The 18,636-nt window shown below is 33.8% G+C and overlaps 1 protein-coding gene across 3 annotated transcripts in view; it reads left to right on the top strand.

Annotated features, from left to right (window-relative positions):
* The window catches only part of PPP3CA (protein phosphatase 3 catalytic subunit alpha), a 324,109-nt gene that overhangs the window by 276,400 nt on the left and 29,073 nt on the right, over window positions 1-18,636 (top strand). For 2 of the 3 annotated variants that reach the window (NM_001130691.2, NM_000944.5), the window contains exons 9-10: window positions 7,770-7,895; window positions 9,966-10,040. In NM_001130691.2, coding sequence (NP_001124163.1) covers window positions 7,770-7,895; window positions 9,966-10,040 — 201 coding nt within the window. The remainder of the gene's footprint in view (window positions 1-7,769; window positions 7,896-9,965; window positions 10,041-18,636) is intronic. The other variant, NM_001130692.2, reaches the window with a different exon arrangement.

Genomic DNA, 18,636 nt, shown 5'->3' with positions numbered 1-18,636 from the left:
GAATGAGAGCAAGGTGAAGGCACAGTGTTTGCTATGCCCGTGCCATCTCCAACAGCTTAAAGCTTCAGCTAAGACTCTCTCTCTCTGTTTTTAGTCTAGATTTGTGTAAGCCTCACTTTAGCATTATTATAATACAGATTAGAACATAAATGAATTCACTAGCTGAAACTGTTAAGGAACTGATAATTGCCAATGTTTCTTCCTTATTAACAAAAAAAAATTTGCTAGAAGAAATTCAAATACTCTATGCAAAATTGTAATGTTAGAAATGATTCACAATGTTTAACTGGACTTGAGCTACATACAAAGATCAATTATCAGCCCCAAATTCCCTGGATCCTAGTATGTAGGTATAACACATTAGGTGGGAATTATAAAATGGCAAACTATTTAAAATAGATAGCCATGCCTGCCTTGAGGAATTTGAAACAGACTTATAATACATTTCTCAGGGACAAAATATTTCATCTGATTATTATGCATATTAATCATATGTATTATTTTTTTCCCTGGCCCATTCTCAGCAATTGGATTATTTCATCTTTATACTTTAAAAGTGAGAGGGCAGATATTATTCCTATTTTATAAGTTTGGAAGGTAAAGACTAAATAAGGAGAAATATTTGCCCAAGTTCATGCAGTTGCCATGTGACAGAACTAGTATCCTTTCCACTGTTCTTTAATTTACATGCTCTTACAATTTTAAAACAGTTTAGCCTTTGAGGTGACACATTGCCTTTTACCTGAATTGCTTTATGTTTCCCTCAGATTTCTGTTTATATTTTGTTAGTTATGTTTTTAGTATCCTGATTAGTTATATGCTTTGTGTTTCTTTCCTCTCTTTTTCCCTCTTCTCCCATTTTCTATTTTCATTCCTTAGGTTTTTTCTTCAAACAACACAATTAAGCATCAACCATATGCCAGATATAGTACATAACACTATAAAAAAAAGGGATCTGTGCCTCCCTCATTCCTTCTATTGTCTTCTTCCCACTTACTTTACCCAAAATTCTATATATGAATAATAACCTAGTTAAGAATTTGCTAACCCTATATCAAGAATGGAAACACATACAGAATTGACCCCGGAGCAACACAGAAGTTAGGGGTGCCAACCCCCACTGCAATCAGAAATCCACATATAACTTTTGATTCATCAAAAACTTAACTACTAATAGCCTACTGTTGCTCAGAGCCTTCCTGATAACATAAACAGTCAATTAACACATATTTTGTATGTTATGTGTGTTATATTCTGTATTCTTATAGTATATAATACACAAAACCTAGAGAAAAAAATGTCCTGAAGGAAATTATAAGCAAGAGAAAATATATTTACTATTCATTAAGTGGATGTGGATTATCATAAAAGTTTTCATCCTCGTCTTCTTCATGTTGAGCAGGCTGAGGAGAAGGAAGAGGAAGAGGGGTTGGTCTTGCTGTCTCAAGGGTGGCAAAAGCAGAAGAAAATCTGCATATAAGTGGACCCATGCAGTTCAAAACTGCATTGTTCAGTGCTCAACAGTACACACACATGCACACATGCACATAGTCATAAGATTACCTCATATTGTTTCACAGAAATATCTATTGCCATCTCTGCCCTTCATGTAGGTAAGATAATATGAGTATTTTATTTAGGAGACTTGTAACAAAGTTTGAAAAGGTGTTGTAGGTACTATGAAGGATGCATGTACAAGTTATATAAAGTATATAGAGGTTGAGAATGTATTTCCATTTCCACCTAGTGAGTAAGAGGAGTGGGGCAAGGGCTAGAATGGACATAAAGTGATTATATATAGTAACATATATCTGTGTCCTTGATACACACAAAATAATTCTCATAGCTTCAAGTAAGTCATATATACCTACTATTTGTATCCACTAATAACAAAATATTTCAGATTGGCTGAAATTTAGTCATTATGAGCCAGGCATGGTGGTGTGTGCCTGTAGTCCCAGCTACTTGGGAGGCTAAAGCAGGAGGATCACTTGAGCCCAGGAGTTCGAAACTGCAGTTAGCTATGATTGTGCCATTGCATTCCAGCCTGAGCAACAGAGCAAGACCCCATCTCTTGAAAAATAAAGACAGAAAAATTTAGTCATTTACTGAAAATTTGCCTGTGAAAGACCCTATATTAGGTACTGGATGAAACAATATAAACATTAACTTTCCCATACTGAAGAATATCATGGTCAAATTACCTAAAAATTTAAGGCTTGAAGTCTATCTTCATAAGTGACTTGAACACATAACTTTCACTTAAGCTTATGATCTAAAGAGTAAAAGTTATGAATACAGTCCTTGCTCACCAAATACTGTCACCATCATGAATTAGTACATTTCCCTTTAAGTTATTAATAATATTAAAATAATCTTTTGAAGACAGAATTCATCCAGCAAGAACTAGGACATTGAAGGGGAAAAAAAGGAGGTGGAAGTTAGAAGTCAGATTTTAAAATGGAAGGAATTGTAGAGACTGTGTTCATGAATGCTATAATATATACTACGGAAAAGTATGCATATATGTGAATATGCATATATGCATATTCACACAATCTTAAATGAAAATTGTACCCCCAAAAAGTAATCTTTATGAGAAAATACAGATTTTTGAAAACTAAGTAGCATGGCTCCCAGAATTTAAAAAAACCCCTGCATGCAGCATACCAGCATAATCTTCAAATGCTGCCATAGAACATTATGAGTTGCATGGGTCCTGCTTCAGGAATTCTATCCACCAAGGCATTATGCCTCCTTTCGTGATGGTAGGACTTTGCCAAAAGAACACACTGATGCTAGTTTTTCTGCTAGGGCATCTGCGGGTGGAAGAATTGGAAGGAAAAAACATCCTGGGTCTATTATGCAATTTATTTGTGCTTTTGCTATTTCTGGATGGATTATGATTCTGGAATGCCCCCATTCGGTTTCTTCTCATCTTTGTTTCTTTTCTCTCCCTCTTTCCCATCTTCTGAAGGTGGAAGAGGATGGTCAGTTAGAGATAAGGAGATGAAAGACAGTAGCAAAAGGGTGAGAACAGGAATAAAATTCAAGTCATTTTTCATTCTTTTGACCTCTTCTCCCCTGTCTTAAAATCAGGACTAGTGGTGTGAAGAATGCCTGAAGTATGTTGGAATCATTACAGTTACAGGTTTTTCAGAAAAAGAACTTTGTATTCCTCTGGACACCCACTTGAAAAGTGCTTAGTCCATGTGTGGTTTGGTAAACTGGTTAATACCACTTGTTAGCAATAATTTTGATAGCTGGTCTTTAATTAGAAGCTTTTTATTATTATTATTATTATTATTATTATTATACTTTAAGTTTTAGGGTACATGTGCACAACGTGCAGGTTTGTTACATGCGTATACATGTGCCATGTTGCTGTGCTGCACCCATTAACTCGTCATTTAGCATTAGGTATATCACCTAATGCTATCCCTCCCCGTCCCCCCACCCCACAACAGGCCTTTCTACTCTTGTCATTCATTGCTTTGTCTCTAGTTTCCCTGGGTGATGGAAATTGTAGAGAGCATGTTGCGAAATGTTTTCATGTTCTTATGAAATACTAGTTGTTTTTTTTTTTGTCTCATCAAAATTTCAAATTAAAGTAAGAAAGACCCCCTGTTTTACAGATTTGGATATGGTCAGGCAACTTAGTACATGGCTTGGTAGACAGAGCAGTGGATTAAGATAGAGATTCTATTCTTTGGACTTCACTATGTACAGGGAACCAGTTGTGTTATTAGAAATAATCGAGGTTCAGTCCGCCTTCCCCATTCACCAAGTAGGAGCAGGCCCTTGATTACTAATTTTACATCTTTTACAGCATGTCTTTGAACACAGGGTTCTACAGGTACTATAAAAATGAGTGGATTGTCTTTAAGACAGTAATTTTGACATCAGAAAAAGGACTGGCAGTCAGTCTTCCAGATTCGTGGGATTAGTATTCTTTTCATTATACCAAATTTCCTTCCAGCTGTTCTTCATACCTGCAACTACAACAGAAGAGCATTTATTTCTGTGGTGTCTGGTGTGCTCTGAATGATGGTTAATAATGTCAGGCCTGCATGTATGTCACAGTCTCTCTGTTACAATTGTTAAGTGACAAGAGGTCATGTGGAATTGCCAGTAGAATAAAGGAGCTCCTTGGTAGTAGACTTTTGTTCTTTTTTTCTCTGTTTCTCAGACAAGGTCTCAGGAGGTGGTCTTGAGTGATTATTGAAGTACAACTATTTGTATTATTTATATTGTACTGGAGATAAACGTCTTTCAAGTACTTCAGAGAAGAGCGCACTGTTAGGGCTCCAGTTGGGTTTTGTAATCCCAATGACAGTCGGAGGCAGGTGGCAGGGGCGGAGGATGTGGGAGGTGGAAGATGAAACGTTAACTGTGAATTTCGTGACTGCAGATATTTTGGACTGTTTTAGTTTTTTTTTCTCATGTATTTCTGTGTTATATATTTATTTTACAAAAATATCAGAATTTTGAGTAACTTACTAATGTAAGGTTATTCAAAAAGTATTTTTGCATAAATGTGTTGCTGAAGAAAAAAGAATACATATTGTTGTAGTTTCATTTTTAATTTTAGGATTTTTTGAGCTAGAGAAAAATAAATTCTATTTATAACCTATAGAACTACTGAGAATATTATTTTTTGCATTAGTGATGAGGCCTTTCATTGTTAACAGTGAAGTTTGTTAACATCATTCAGATCTGGAAGAGACTTTATAAATTATCTATAAACCCACGTAGTTAGGTAACTGAGACTTAAAGATATTAAGTACCTTAGTCTGGTGAATAATTAGTGACAGATTCCATCTTGTAGTCTGGCCTCCTGGCTTTCCAGTCCAGTGCTCTTCTTTAAAGAGATTAAACATGGAAGGAGAAAGAATGTGTGTCCAAAACTTGATAGACACTGAATGATTTATACTATTAGGATGAGTGTATTATGATGTACTAGAAGGATCAGAGACTTTAGACTCAGGCCAAAAGTGAGATTTACCTCTTTCTAAGTGTGACTGTGGGCAGATAACCTCTCTGTTTGCTTATTTTCAAAATATAAATGATAAGAACCACTTTTGAGGAATATTGTGAAGATTTGTAATTATGTTTGTAAAGGGCCACACATAATGCCTGGCATATATCAGATACTCAGTAAATAAATGAAAATAAAATCTGAAAACAATATTTGCTTTATCAGTAGGTACTCAAGTAAATTGTATTGAGCCAAGGTCAAATGAACTTTTATCTCACCAACTGCAAAACAGAACTTCTGTTTTATCTATTGGATGAGACTTACCCTTGCTTGTAAATTGCATCCTGTTTCACTCAAACGTGTATTTTGGCAAAAGCTAAAACCTCTTTAATTATGAAATCCATATTCAAAGTTAAATTATTATAACAGCTAGGACTAGAATTCAAACATTTATAATTTATGAGAGACAGCAGGGAATGAAAGAAAGGGAATGAATTTGGTGTCAGAAAAAGCTGAGTTTAAATAATGAGTGAGATCTGTCAGTTACTGGTTGCATGATCTTGAGCAAGTTTCTCCATTTCTCAACCACAATTCCTTTGTAACATAAGGGCAGTCACACCTGCTTCTCAGATTTGTTGTGCGGATTATTATATAAAGCCTGTCTGTTTCCTCCAGGGCACTGTTAATTATAATATTTACTTTCCTTCCTCCTGCTATACCACCAACCTAAGGTTAATAAAAAGTGGGGGAACTTAGAGGAGAAATTACTCTTCAAAAAGACAATTTAGAGCCTTAAAGATTCATCTGAAGATATGAGGATGCATTTCTGCTGTGAACATTCAGTGTTCTGAAATAGTAAAAACCTTTTACATGGAGCTAGAACTCTGGTAGCACTTAGCAAAGATGGGAAATACTTCACCTTTTTCATACTGAAGATCAAAAGTATTGATATGATAGTTTGCCTTGATTTTTTTATTTTGCATGTTTTTAGCATCATGTAAATGTATCCTAATGGCATAAATGATAAAGCAATGTAAAAGGGAATGGGTTTACAGAAATATATGCAGGAATTAGTATTCCACAGGAAGAAGAGGATAACTACCTTCATATCAGTATTGCCTACACTATCTACATTTCTTGTCCCCAGAGTGTCTGTGATTATATGTTCCCTGGAACCATGTTGGTCAGCCAGAAATAGCAATTCAAAGCAAAGGCCTTACCATTCACAAGTACAAGTTTAGTTAAATGCAGGCTGCTAAAAACATCAACATATTGTTAGGCTACAATATGATATATATAGTATCCACACCACAGAAAATGATATATTCTCCCCATACTCTGCACTGTTCAAACCAACCTAGATGATTATATTACTTCTGGGCCACATTTTAACAGAGACATTGCCAATCTGGCATGCATTCAGAATAGGTTGAGCAGGCTGAGCTAAAGCATCAAGAAGCCATGTCATATTAAAGAGGGCGAAAGGGGATAAAAATAATTTGCTTGAAAAAGATTGTAAGGCAGATACCAAGATGTGTCTCCAGCTCCTGAGCATCCATTCTGAGTAAAAACAAAAAAGTAAAGAAATGATTACTTTTTCTGTATTTTCAACCCCATAACATAAGCAAGAAAAGATCATATGATATCATATAAAATCTGTTGGTTACTGTCTTCTAATGTAATACAAATTATGCCCTGAATAGATAATAAAAATGAAATCTTGCCAAAGCCTAAGAAGGTATGCTTGAGTATCATATTTAATATTTAAAAGGCTGTCATTCAGAAGCAGAATGACATTAAATATTAAATATGAAATGCATAGCAAAACCATGATCAGTGACTGGTAAAGGCAGGTTTAAATGCAACCTGAGAATTTCCTGCAACTTCAAATTGTCTATCCATAGAATAGGTGACCTCATTAAAACAGGTGACTTTTCCTTTATTGAAAGTACTCACAGAGACATGAAGCATGCAGATTTGTCTTCCTGAGTCATGGATGGACATCTTTTTCAGAAATCAAGGATAGAGTCAGATAGAAGCACATTATTTTATGTGGGATTCAATCCAAACATTTTATTTTATTAAGTCAAGAAAGCAGTCTACTATAGGGTAACTATAGTTAACGATAATAGATTATAATTTCAAATAGCTGGAAGGAGAATATTGAATGTTCCAAATACAACTAAATGATAAATGTTTGATATGGTATTTAATGTATAGCTAATTACCCTGATCTGATTACTGTGCATTATATGTGTCAAAACATCACTATGCACCCCATAATTATGTACAATTATTATATTAATTTAAAAAATAAAGTAAAAATTAAAGCAATCTAACTTAAACTATTTTGTACAACTGTTGGGAGTTCTATTGAAGTTTTACTTTTTAAAAATAAATTCATTCAAATATTTGAGGAGATTATTATGTCAAACTTAGCTGTGCCACTTTTATTAGTGTCATCAGATATCAAATTTTAAGACCAAAGTATTCTTGGCTGAAAGGGGAGCTTGAATCAGTTCCTGACAGACATTGGATTAACTATTTTGTGTAAATATTTTCCAATTTGTTACACAATTACATATTAATTATTCATATATTGTGCAGTTATATATTACCCTGAGTAAGGTTTAAGTCCATAAGTTGTATAAGCATTCTGGGATGCCTAAGGTGTGAGCCTGGATGTTTTGGAACTTCAGTCAAATGGTTGAATTTTCTTGATGAGCTAAAGCCATACATAGAAGCAGAAATATGTTCTGTGTTCCTAACATCCTCTTTTGGTTATTTTTAGCTGCAGTATTGAAGTATGAGAACAATGTTATGAATATCAGGCAATTCAACTGTTCTCCTCATCCATACTGGCTTCCAAATTTCATGGATGTTTTTACTTGGTCCCTTCCATTTGTTGGGGAAAAAGGTATGTTGTGGAATCCTGAGATGTTCTTCTTAAAATAGTTTAGGAAGGAAGGAAAGGAGATTAAACACTCAGAAAGAGAAGAACTTTGGCCCAGCCAATAAAATTCACAAGTTGTACAATGAAAGATGTGATTTGGAAGTGGCAGTGTGTCACTCTGTATCCTATTAACAGGACACAATTGGTGAATGAGGGGGAAGCAAAAAAAAAAACAAAACACAGGAATATTTAGGAAATTTTTACAATCTTATTAGAATAATATAACGCTTTAAAAAATAATGGAAATACAGGTTTACCTGGTTTCAAGTAATGTCTACCCTTTTTCCTTACCCATTTGTACTATAATCCCAAAGGACTATTTAATTTTACAAATTATCTGCCAAATTAAAAGATTAGGATAGCCATGCTCTCCTTACATTTCTGATGTTAATAAATTATTGTACGATAGTGCTTAATGGCTACAATATTTTGAAGAACAACATGTACAACAGCAAAGTAGTTCATCAATAATGTAGGCATTAGCGCATTATAAGGTACAGAACAGGAGACAAATTTACATTTTAGAAAGTTATTTGTTAACTTTCTTCCTACCTTCCTTCTTTCCTCCTTTGTTTTGCTTTCATATGTTGACTTAAACCCCAACAAAAATTTTGGGGAAATGTCTGCACCAATTGTTTTTCATTCAGGAGGCCTAACAGTGATACACGGATTGATTCTCATGTATCTTCTCATACTTTCCATGAGAAGGTGAATGGGCATTGTAAGAAAAATAAATGTTCCTATAAGTATCAGAGTAATGATGTTCTATGAGGAGTATCAGAGAAAAGCTAAATATTTTTCTGAAACCCTAATGGTTGTTTTCCCTTTAAATGCCCTAAAATGATTAAACCAGTCAAGTTATGAGTTGTTGGCAAAGAAGCCTTCCCTTTGAATATCAAAATAATCAAAAGTAAATTTTTAATAATCTCTGATAAATATTCCCAATACTACTCCATATTGCAACTTTCTTGCACTGATCAAATTGGAGTAGTGTCATCTGTTGGCTTCGCTGGAAACAGAAGCAGTGTGGATGCTGACAACTATGGGGCACCTTTTGAACATCCTTTATTTGGGTTGTTTCTATTAATTATTAAAATTTGGGACATTTATTAGAAATTAACATATTAATCTATTGGTACACAAAATCCAGTTTTGATAATTAAACTGAAACTCTGGATCAGTGTTGGCTCTATTGAAGTTTGACTCTCTATCATTCATCTTCAATTCTAGAAGGACATTTTTTTAAATAGCATATTACTTTAAAAAGTAGCTCTCAAAGAAGCAGTAGACAGGCTTCTTTTCACATGCATGGTAGAATCCAATCTAATTTCAAAAAATATTAAATGTAAATAGCATGGTTTATAGTATAAAAATAATGCAGTACTAATTTCCTCTGTACAACACTTTTATGTAATCCTATTGTAATCTATTAAGTAAATTTCTGATTAAACTGCAACTGTTTAATTTTTTAAGCATTTTTGAAAATCAAATTTAATGATATTTCTGTCAATACATTTTTAAAATTAGTATTCTGAAAAATACTTCAAATATATTAGTTTATCAATCAACAGTTTGTATTAAACACAAAACCACATGCCTATAATGGCGTGAAGTTCTCTAGGTGATTAAAAATATAAGAAAAATCATCATTCTTAGTCCCTACTGAACAGAAGTTTGTAATCTGATCTAGATTAAGCCTTATCATTGTGTGACTAATAAAAATTCAAAAAAACTATTTTCTCTTTCATTGATTTGTAGTATATTCACATCCACATATTTGATTTGTCATTGTCTATTGACCTAGAGCTAGTAAATGTTACCATTAGATATCATAAGCATCAGCTAATAGTTTCATAAAGTCTGCATAGAATCACAAAGGCTGTCTTTTATGATCTGGATGTTTACTGAAACTGCTTCTATATACAAACTAAATAAGAAATGTTATTGCTAAGTTTGCTCATTAACAATGCCAGAGTAATAGTTAAGGTTATAACAGAAAACCCTGACTTTTCTTTCTTTGCTTTCTCTCTTTAGTGACTGAGATGCTGGTAAATGTCCTCAACATCTGCTCAGATGATGAACTAGGGTCAGAAGAAGATGGATTTGATGGTAAGAGGCTTGAGCCTTTGTGCTAATGCTATTTGCCAGATAATTACTTAGAGTCTCATTGCTAAATCTAAGAATAAATTTCTAAGATTTGGATTATGTTTAAAACGTAACATTATTGAGAATAAAAGATATGATTTCATTTTCTGTTTACTTTTTAAAAGTATAAGAAACAAATATCATGAGAATTTTCTCATTACTTTAAAAACATTGTTAAAGTAGTAAACTGTTTTAATAAGCTTTCAGTAGCTCACATTGCTAAGTGACCTTTTTTGGCTTTTTGATACAAATTTAATCCTTTATTTTCTAACAGATGTTACCAATTACTGGACAATTATTTTTTCTTTTACCAGGCAATTTAAAAATGTCCTCTAATGGGGTTGCTCACATCAATTATTCAAGTTTTGATGTTTATGATGAAAAAGGCATTTACATATTGATATATTGGTATTTATTTCAATCCCAATATTTCTTCTTTCTGTAGTAATAGGTAATGAATAAACTGTGAGGAGTTTTTTATGTTTTTTAAGATATTACTTGGTGTTTAATTACCCTCAAAGGGTATGCTTTTTCTGCAAGAGGCACAGATCCATGAAGTTAAAGATGAAGGGGAAAATTACCCTGAGTCTTACAAAAGCACCTCAAAATGAATGGAAACTGACAAAAATGTACTTAGAGAAGAAAAGCATAAGAGCAAACTTTACTGCATTTAAGAAGTACAGTTGAGGCCGGGTGCAGTGGTTCCTAGCACTTTGATAGGCTGAGGCAGATCACTTGAGACCAGGATTTTGAGACCAGCCTGGGAAACCTAGGGAGAATTCATCTCTACAAAAAATTAGCCATGTGTGGTGGTGCATGATTGTGGTCCTAGCTACTCAGAAGGCTAAAGTGGGAGGAAATCTTGAGCCCAGGAGGTTGAGACTGCAGTGAGCCATGGTCATACCACAGTACTCCAGCCTGGGTGACAGAGCAAGATCCCATCTCAAAAATAAAAGCAGTACAGTCAGCCCTCCGTATCTGAGGGTTCTGCATCCATGGATTCAAACAACCTCAGATTGAAAATAATTCAAGAAAAAGTTGCATCTATACTGAACACATACAGACTTTTTTTCCTTGTCATTTTTCCGTAAATAATACAGTTTAACAACTATCTACATAGCATTGACATTGTGTTCAGTATTGTTAAGTAGTCTGGAGATTAAAGTATACTCAGAGGTCCTAGATTCAGGACACCCAGGGCTACAAGATGCATTAAAAACCTATTCTTTGAAGAAGTTGCAAACTGGTTGGAGAGACTGATGCATAAACTAATAATATCAATAAAATGACACAAATTATAAATAAAGGGTGAAGAGGGCAAGGGAAACTAGATATTATGGTGAGTTTAAATGGATAAAATGTATACCTTTAAAAACTGCAGTTCAGTAAAATGAAAAGAGAATGTGGTCCTTTCTAAAAGTTGGTTTCCAAATGACATGATTTAATGTTTACCTGGGCTTGATACAGGTCATGGGTATAAATGCAAAATACCTAATGCTGCAGGCAAAAGTATAATAAACCTGTTCATACACTCATGTAAATAGAGTCTATATACTCAGGTAAATTTAATGTATGAGATTTATTTTTAACATCTCATAGTTTTTCTCCTCTATAACTTCTCTTGTCTTTATTACTTGTCTTCATATACTATTTTTGAGTCATATACCACATCGCAAGGAGATGTGCAACATAGGGAAGGAAAGGGGAAAATGGATATATTTAAAAAACAACTTTACTGGGCTAAAATTAAGAATATATAAGAACTTAAATATATTGGCATATTTTGAAATATGCAAGAGATCAATGGACATTTTGTGCTTTATCTAAATTCTAGATGTTTCATATGTTATAGCCACAGTTTGCTACTGTTATCTTTTAAATGATAGCACTGTTTTCAGAATGGCAGAAATTTTTTCCTAAAAGAATACTAACCAAATGGAACCTAAATCATAAACATCAACAAACGTTTTTCAGTATGTACCTTTCACTATATTCCTTTTATTCTTTAAAAGAAAGATTAACATTAATACAATAATAATCCCCTATTAATAAATGTTTGTTTTTTGCAAAGTCCACTGGCCAGTATTTATGATATAGAGAACAAAAATGTAACATACTGTAGAGAATAAGAATGTGTAGACCTACATATGTTTGTAATTTTTATGTTAATCCATTCACTCAGCAAATATATATTCAGTATCTACTAAGTACCAGGTACCATAGCCAAAATGACTGCACATTTCACTGGTACATGTTATTCCTGCACAGTTACCAACATTACCAAGACTAACCCTGTGCTTACTTCACTTCTAGTAAGTTCCCTTTACTCACCATCTCAATTACTTACATGAAAGGATTTGTTTTGTCAGTTACTTTATTTTAAAATAATTAGTTCTAATCAATGTGCTGTGCTCACCACCAATTGCTTTTTAAACTCTGTTTTAATTCCAATTGTAGGAGTGCATGTTTGTCTTAAGGTCCTTGGAAGAATTTTTTTCTTTCTAAGCAGACCCCTGAATTCCCCCTTTACCACTCTTTAAGTTTTAAGTCAGTCCTGCAGAGAAATTTTGTCCTACCAGGTGCAGGGAGGAAGATGGTCAGGAATGCCTAACCTGCTCTTACCAGCTAGAAAAGATGAGCTTTATCTCTCACTTTTGTCAACTTCCTTCAGTGGTCCATTCCTGTCAAGTTAAACATCATTAAGTTATTTATCTTTCTGAACAGTTTCTTCTGCTTTAATTTATTTCTGCTTAGCTATATTAACAATAAGATTTGTGTTTTCAAAATTTTAAGCAAAATTTACACACAGGCTAATTAAAGTATTCAATGCATATTAAAAGTCCTATGTGTCTATAACTTATCAGATTGGGAGCTAGCAGAAAGAGATAAGATTATTGCTATATAATTTTTAGGGATAGACAATTTAATTTCCTTGGTTTCCTGTCTCATGGACCTCACTTAACCAGTAGTATGTGGGTGTTTTTTCTACCTTTTTTCTCCATCTTATTTAAAATTTGTTGGTGTATTTCCCTTAGTCAAACTAAAGAGAAACAATCATCTAATCTTATGTTTTATTTCTTTTGTATATGTACATATGAGAGGAGGAGGAAGAAAGAGATGAGGAGAGGTGAAAAGAAAAGATCCTTCTGCCTGATTGGGCTTTGCCAGCATATGATAGCAGTGCAGGCCTTGGTTCCATGAGCAGCATCAGATTCAAATTTCATAGAAAAAGAGCCCAGAGGAATTGAAAAAGAGAAATTAAATTCAACAAGGAGAGGCATTGTATACATTATGCATTCACGATAGGTTATGATTGAGAAGAAGCTGGTGCTTTGGGAAAAACATATTAGGTTCTACATTTACCCTTTTTGAATAGTTTTCTCCTTTCTAAACAGGGTGATAATAGGAGAATGCTGAATGCCTCTCCATTGAATTTGGAAACTGCCGGGCCAGCATTAGTGTGGTATTGTCTGCCCACACTTTTCTAGATGCAAGTTTAAGATCATGTTCAGTGTGAACATTGAGGACTTTAGAGATCGGAGTCCGAAATGTGTCAAAGTTAATGTTAATAGATGCTGTCCTCATTTTGTAACTGTGACTTCTAAATGTGACCTTTTAGTTCATATCTCATAAATTTGCCATTTAAGAAGAAATACAGAAATGAAAGTTTTAAGTTTTAATTAAAAGTATATCTTGCTGGGTGCAGTGGCTCATGCCTATAATCCCAGCACTTTGGGAGGCCAAGGCCGGCAGATCACTTGAGGTCAGGAGTTGGAGACTAGCCTGGCCAACATGGCAAAACCTTGTCTCTACTAAAGATACAAAAAAAATAGGTGGGCATGGTGGTGCACATCCGTATTCCTAGCTACTTGGAAGGCTGAGGCACAAGAATCGCTTGAACCCGGGAGACAGAGGTTGCAGTGAGCCGTGATTGCACCAGTGCACTCCAACCTGGGTGACACAGTGAGACTGATTCAAAAAAAAAAAAAAGTATATTCTACTTAAGATATTATATATTTCAGTATAAGCAATCAGGAGTCCTAGCATTTAATGTAACATGACATCAAAACTGGATTTCCTCAAAGGGTTAGGGTTAGGGTGCTTAAAGATGCTCAAAGAATAATTTGTAAAGCTTCTCAGAAATCCTTGGTTTTCTTTGGGAATACTGTTTATTGACAACGTATATTGAAGTGAGTTGTTTTTTTTTTTTTTTTGGTAACATTATTTCCAACCTTAGGATAAAATTTCCAATTGCGGCACCCTGTCCTTCCTGCCTGCAGCCTGTAGCCTGTCTCCCTTATGGGGCTGGCTCTCTCCTGCTGCTTGCCAGGCTCCTTATTTGTTGCCTGAAAAGGCAAAGCAGAAATCAGAAGACATCCAAAGACTTAAATAAAAGTCTTCCTTAAATTGTTGCTTATTTTAAGTGGGCTATCCCTTCATGAGTCATTTATCAAGCCCTTCTCAATATTTCATTCCATTTCCAATGTCAGTGGGAAAGTCAAAGGTAATAATAGTTACTCTACAGTCCATGACTGTCTTTTATCTTATCAGCTTGACTTTTTAGTGTCTGTAGTGCCTATAGCAATTTAGAGATGCGCCTATAGCAATTTAGAGATGCTCCTCATTTCCTTCAGAATCTGTCAACTCCTGTTTACTATTTAATGATGATGTTAGTGACAGCAGCTAACACTTACGTGTTAGGGATCAAGCTTAGTTCTTTAATTTACTCATTTTACCTTCTGGCCAACAAAAGATTTGTTATTATTAACTGTCCTTTATGTTAAGTTTACTAGGCAATTTATGTATTATCTTTCATCCTCAAAACAGCCTATTGATATAGGTACTATTATTATCCTTATTTTACATATAAAGTGATCCAGACTCAGTAAGTTGAAAACCTAAGTTCATCCAGCTAGTAAAGTGCAACAGAGCCTGGATTCAACTAATGTCTGCTTGGTTGTCAGGCTCTTAAACTTCCCACCACATGTGGTTACAATGTTTGAAATCTTGTTCATTCAGTGTGATGATTTTTTTAAAACAAACAAAAAACACTAATAAGCAAATATAATATGCTTTAATTTGTTCTGTTAAATATACTGTAAAATAAAATATAAATATAACACAAATATAATATGCTTTAATTTGTTCTGTTAAATATACTGTAAAATAAAATATAAATATAACAATATATAAGTATACTGTAAAATAAAAATATTCTATGAAATGAAGAAATAGATTTTGCAGTATTATTTGGCCATGAAAGTCAATGCATATGAAACAATATCATTCTATTATTTTAACATAGGCTAAGAAGAAATGTGTTTCATCTTGTAAAAAATTTAGGTGTATCTGAGCAGACAAAAAGTCTTCTGGCTCACACAGGCTTCTGGATAGGAAACCATGTCATGATTCTCTCTTCGTTAGCTTCTGTCTTATAAATAAAGGAATTTGATAGGCTGTCTGGAAAAAGATTGCTGTTTTAAATTGGCCTCTGGTCTTCTATGTTGAAAATAAAATTTAAAACTTCTGTTATCTTGTAAAGTTTGGAAGCAGTTTAATGCCAATGAATGTCTTTTGATGATCTAATTTATATGTAATAGGGTCTTTGTTTCCTGTTTCCACTTCTTATTTCGAATGTTAAAATGATAGTCTGGTTTCAATTTAGGGTTGTTATTCACTGGAACACTTTAGAGAAAAAAGAAATCCAAGTAAAGGTATCTCATTTGGCAGATAATGCTCATTAATGAAGAAGGCTCATTTCAGACCAAGGTTTAGTAAGTGATTCCAAAGTAGAGCTAACAGAAATCAACCTTCATTACAAGAGTTTCTTTATTGTTCATTATTATAATAAGGAAGTCTGGAGAAACAGTAAGCATTAGCAACCTAGTGATAGTTTTGTAAGTTAGGAATAGTTATTTATCTGGGACTGTCTTTTAGGTCCTAAAATCATAGGCACTGAGATCACTTTTTTAAATAATACAAATTATGTTTGAGACTGTGATATGTGATAAGTCTCACTCACCAGAAAAAACTGTGGAAGTTAAACTGAAGCCCTGTAGAATGAGAAAGGAAAGAAAAAATAATAAAGTGAATACATTTCAAGCCAAATATAGTTTCAGGCTGCACTGGAAAGACTTAATATTAAATTAGAATTTATGTGTCTGCTTTTATCTAAAGAGCAAACCACATGGTAGAACTCTTATCCTTTGTCAACATTTTTGCCTTATCCTAATGTTAACCATAAGCAAGTGAATATGGAATCAGAGTAGCTTTTTGCATGCCTCTATGAAACCATCTATGTCCTATACCAGAAAATTATCTTCCATAGTCTGCCTTGAATTAGATAATTCTTCGTATCTAATACCACAGGTTCCAGAGTGTCTCCCTACCTATTTCTGTCTAGCTGTTAACAGTTGTACAGAACTTAAAGTGCAAAGTTGGGAATTAGTGTGACTAATGTTGTATCTTACTGGTCCTTGAGGAATACTTTTCTAAGGGTATGAATATATTATTTTCTACCAAAACTGTATTTATTTGCCATGATGAATGTTTGACCTAGCAAAAAGCGTTTGGCACTAGTAATTCCTTTGTAGAAATGCCTTGGCACCCCAAGCATAAAGGAATTACCCCCAAATCATTACTTTCAAATAGTCACAGAATCTAAATGGGTTTGGTTAATTTAAAAATCTAAATGGAATTAATAAATTAAGTTTAAAGATTTAACCTTAGAAAGTCCCATCACTTTGTGCATTTAGCAGCACATATACTAAGAGCCATTAGCTTGGAGCTTTTTTTGTGCTGTGATTTTTATTTCTGAGCAACTCATTTTAGCATCCTATATTTCAGCTTCCTCATCTAAAAAAATGATGTTATAGCCTGTACAGTTTAGGGGGAATATATTAATCTTTAATATAAAAAATAGAAAAAAAACCCATTTAGATATACAAAAGAAAATATGCTCTGAGGAACACAGTGGTGATAAGATTCTTGTTCTGTCAACATTGAAGCCTAACCTAAAGTTAGTAAGTCAAGGAATAACATAATAAAAACAGTATTTGAGAAAAGGCAAAAACTTTTTCAAGCTTAGATAAATGCTTGGAAAATGAACAAAGGATGAGTAGGGATATAATTTAGGAACTTAATAAAGTATCTTGAAGTTGCAGTGACAAGATCTGAACAAAAATATTGTTAAGAAAAACATTTAAAAGGAACCGTTCAAAAGACCTTTCCGAGGACTTATGACGTAGAATCAACAGGTCTTAGACAGAGGGGCAAAGGAAACAAAAGCTGAGTTTGACGGTTCAAACCTAGGGGCATAGGAGGGATAATAACATTTATGGAAAAAGTCACCACCTCCAGGAGAAAGATGAGTTCTGTTACAGGCAGGAGTTTGAGTAAAACTGACGTGTAATTCTAGAAATGCCCAAGCAGGATTTGGAAAAGGAGTCCTAGAAATTGAGAAAGAAATTGGGGCTAGTGACAGAGGCATAGGATTAAGTAATAACTGAATTTATTAAGAGTGAAATAGGCCTCCAAGTTGCTGACTTAGAATAAAATCTCACAAAATTAAGGACTGATTTTTAAAATTAGCCTGCACTGTTAAAGCTGGAGATGAAAGAAGGAGAAAATAGGAGTGATGACAGAGCACAAGAACCAGGTTTGTGTAGCAGTTCAGGCAACAGCTACTTAAAAATATTTGCACCCAGTGCAGAAAAATTAATATGAGATATAAGTCTGGCCAGAATTAGGACCATAACTTTGGCTATCAGACATCAGATTGTTGAAAGAGATGAATAGCAAAATTTATTTGATTTTTACAGTGGCACGTAAAATTGAAATCATTGACAAAAGGAAAACACTAAAATAAAATTCAGTGTGCCCTATTCTAATATCACATTGTTTTTACTTTACATATTTTTATTTCTGTGTATTCATTAAAAGCAAATATTGACATAATATATTTTACCATATATTCAGTGATGAACAGAACACATATGGTCCCTGCCTTCATTGATCTTGGAGTCAAGTAGAATAAGAATTAAACCAGTTTTAAACATGCTAGTCATGCAGAGGATATAGGTGTTTAAACATGCTAGTCACAGGATATAGGTGTTTAGGGGAGGCAGCAGGAATTGGGATAAAATATTGAATAACTAAAGGAAGAACATGGGGGACATCTTTCTTTTTCTACTTCTGAAAAGCCAAAAAATAAACTTTTATGAATTTTGATGTTTTAGAAAATGTGGCCATGTGATAAGTCCATATTATTTTTTCAAGGAAATTATATGCAAGGGTGGACATCCGTTTACCAGTTTTGACATCTCTTATATTTTTATAATAACTGAGTTTGCCTGATGTAATTAGGGTACAGGGAAAGAAAGATGTGTAAAAAGGTAGGTTATTTAATATTTTTAAAAGACTAAATTCTTCTCAGGCTTTTTTTTTATTGTTTTCCCAGTTTATTGTTGGTTTTTTTGTTTGTTTTCAGTTGCCTAATATTTTTGTGTCTAATTTAAAAGCTAAATCGTTTGTCTTTATAAGTTTATTATTTATTTCTTAT

Source organism: Homo sapiens, chromosome 4 (genome assembly GCF_000001405.40).
Source record: "Homo sapiens chromosome 4, GRCh38.p14 Primary Assembly".
In the NCBI taxonomy this organism is placed as follows: domain Eukaryota; kingdom Metazoa; phylum Chordata; class Mammalia; order Primates; family Hominidae; genus Homo; species Homo sapiens.
This window is presented reverse-complemented; position numbering and strand designations above follow the sequence as displayed.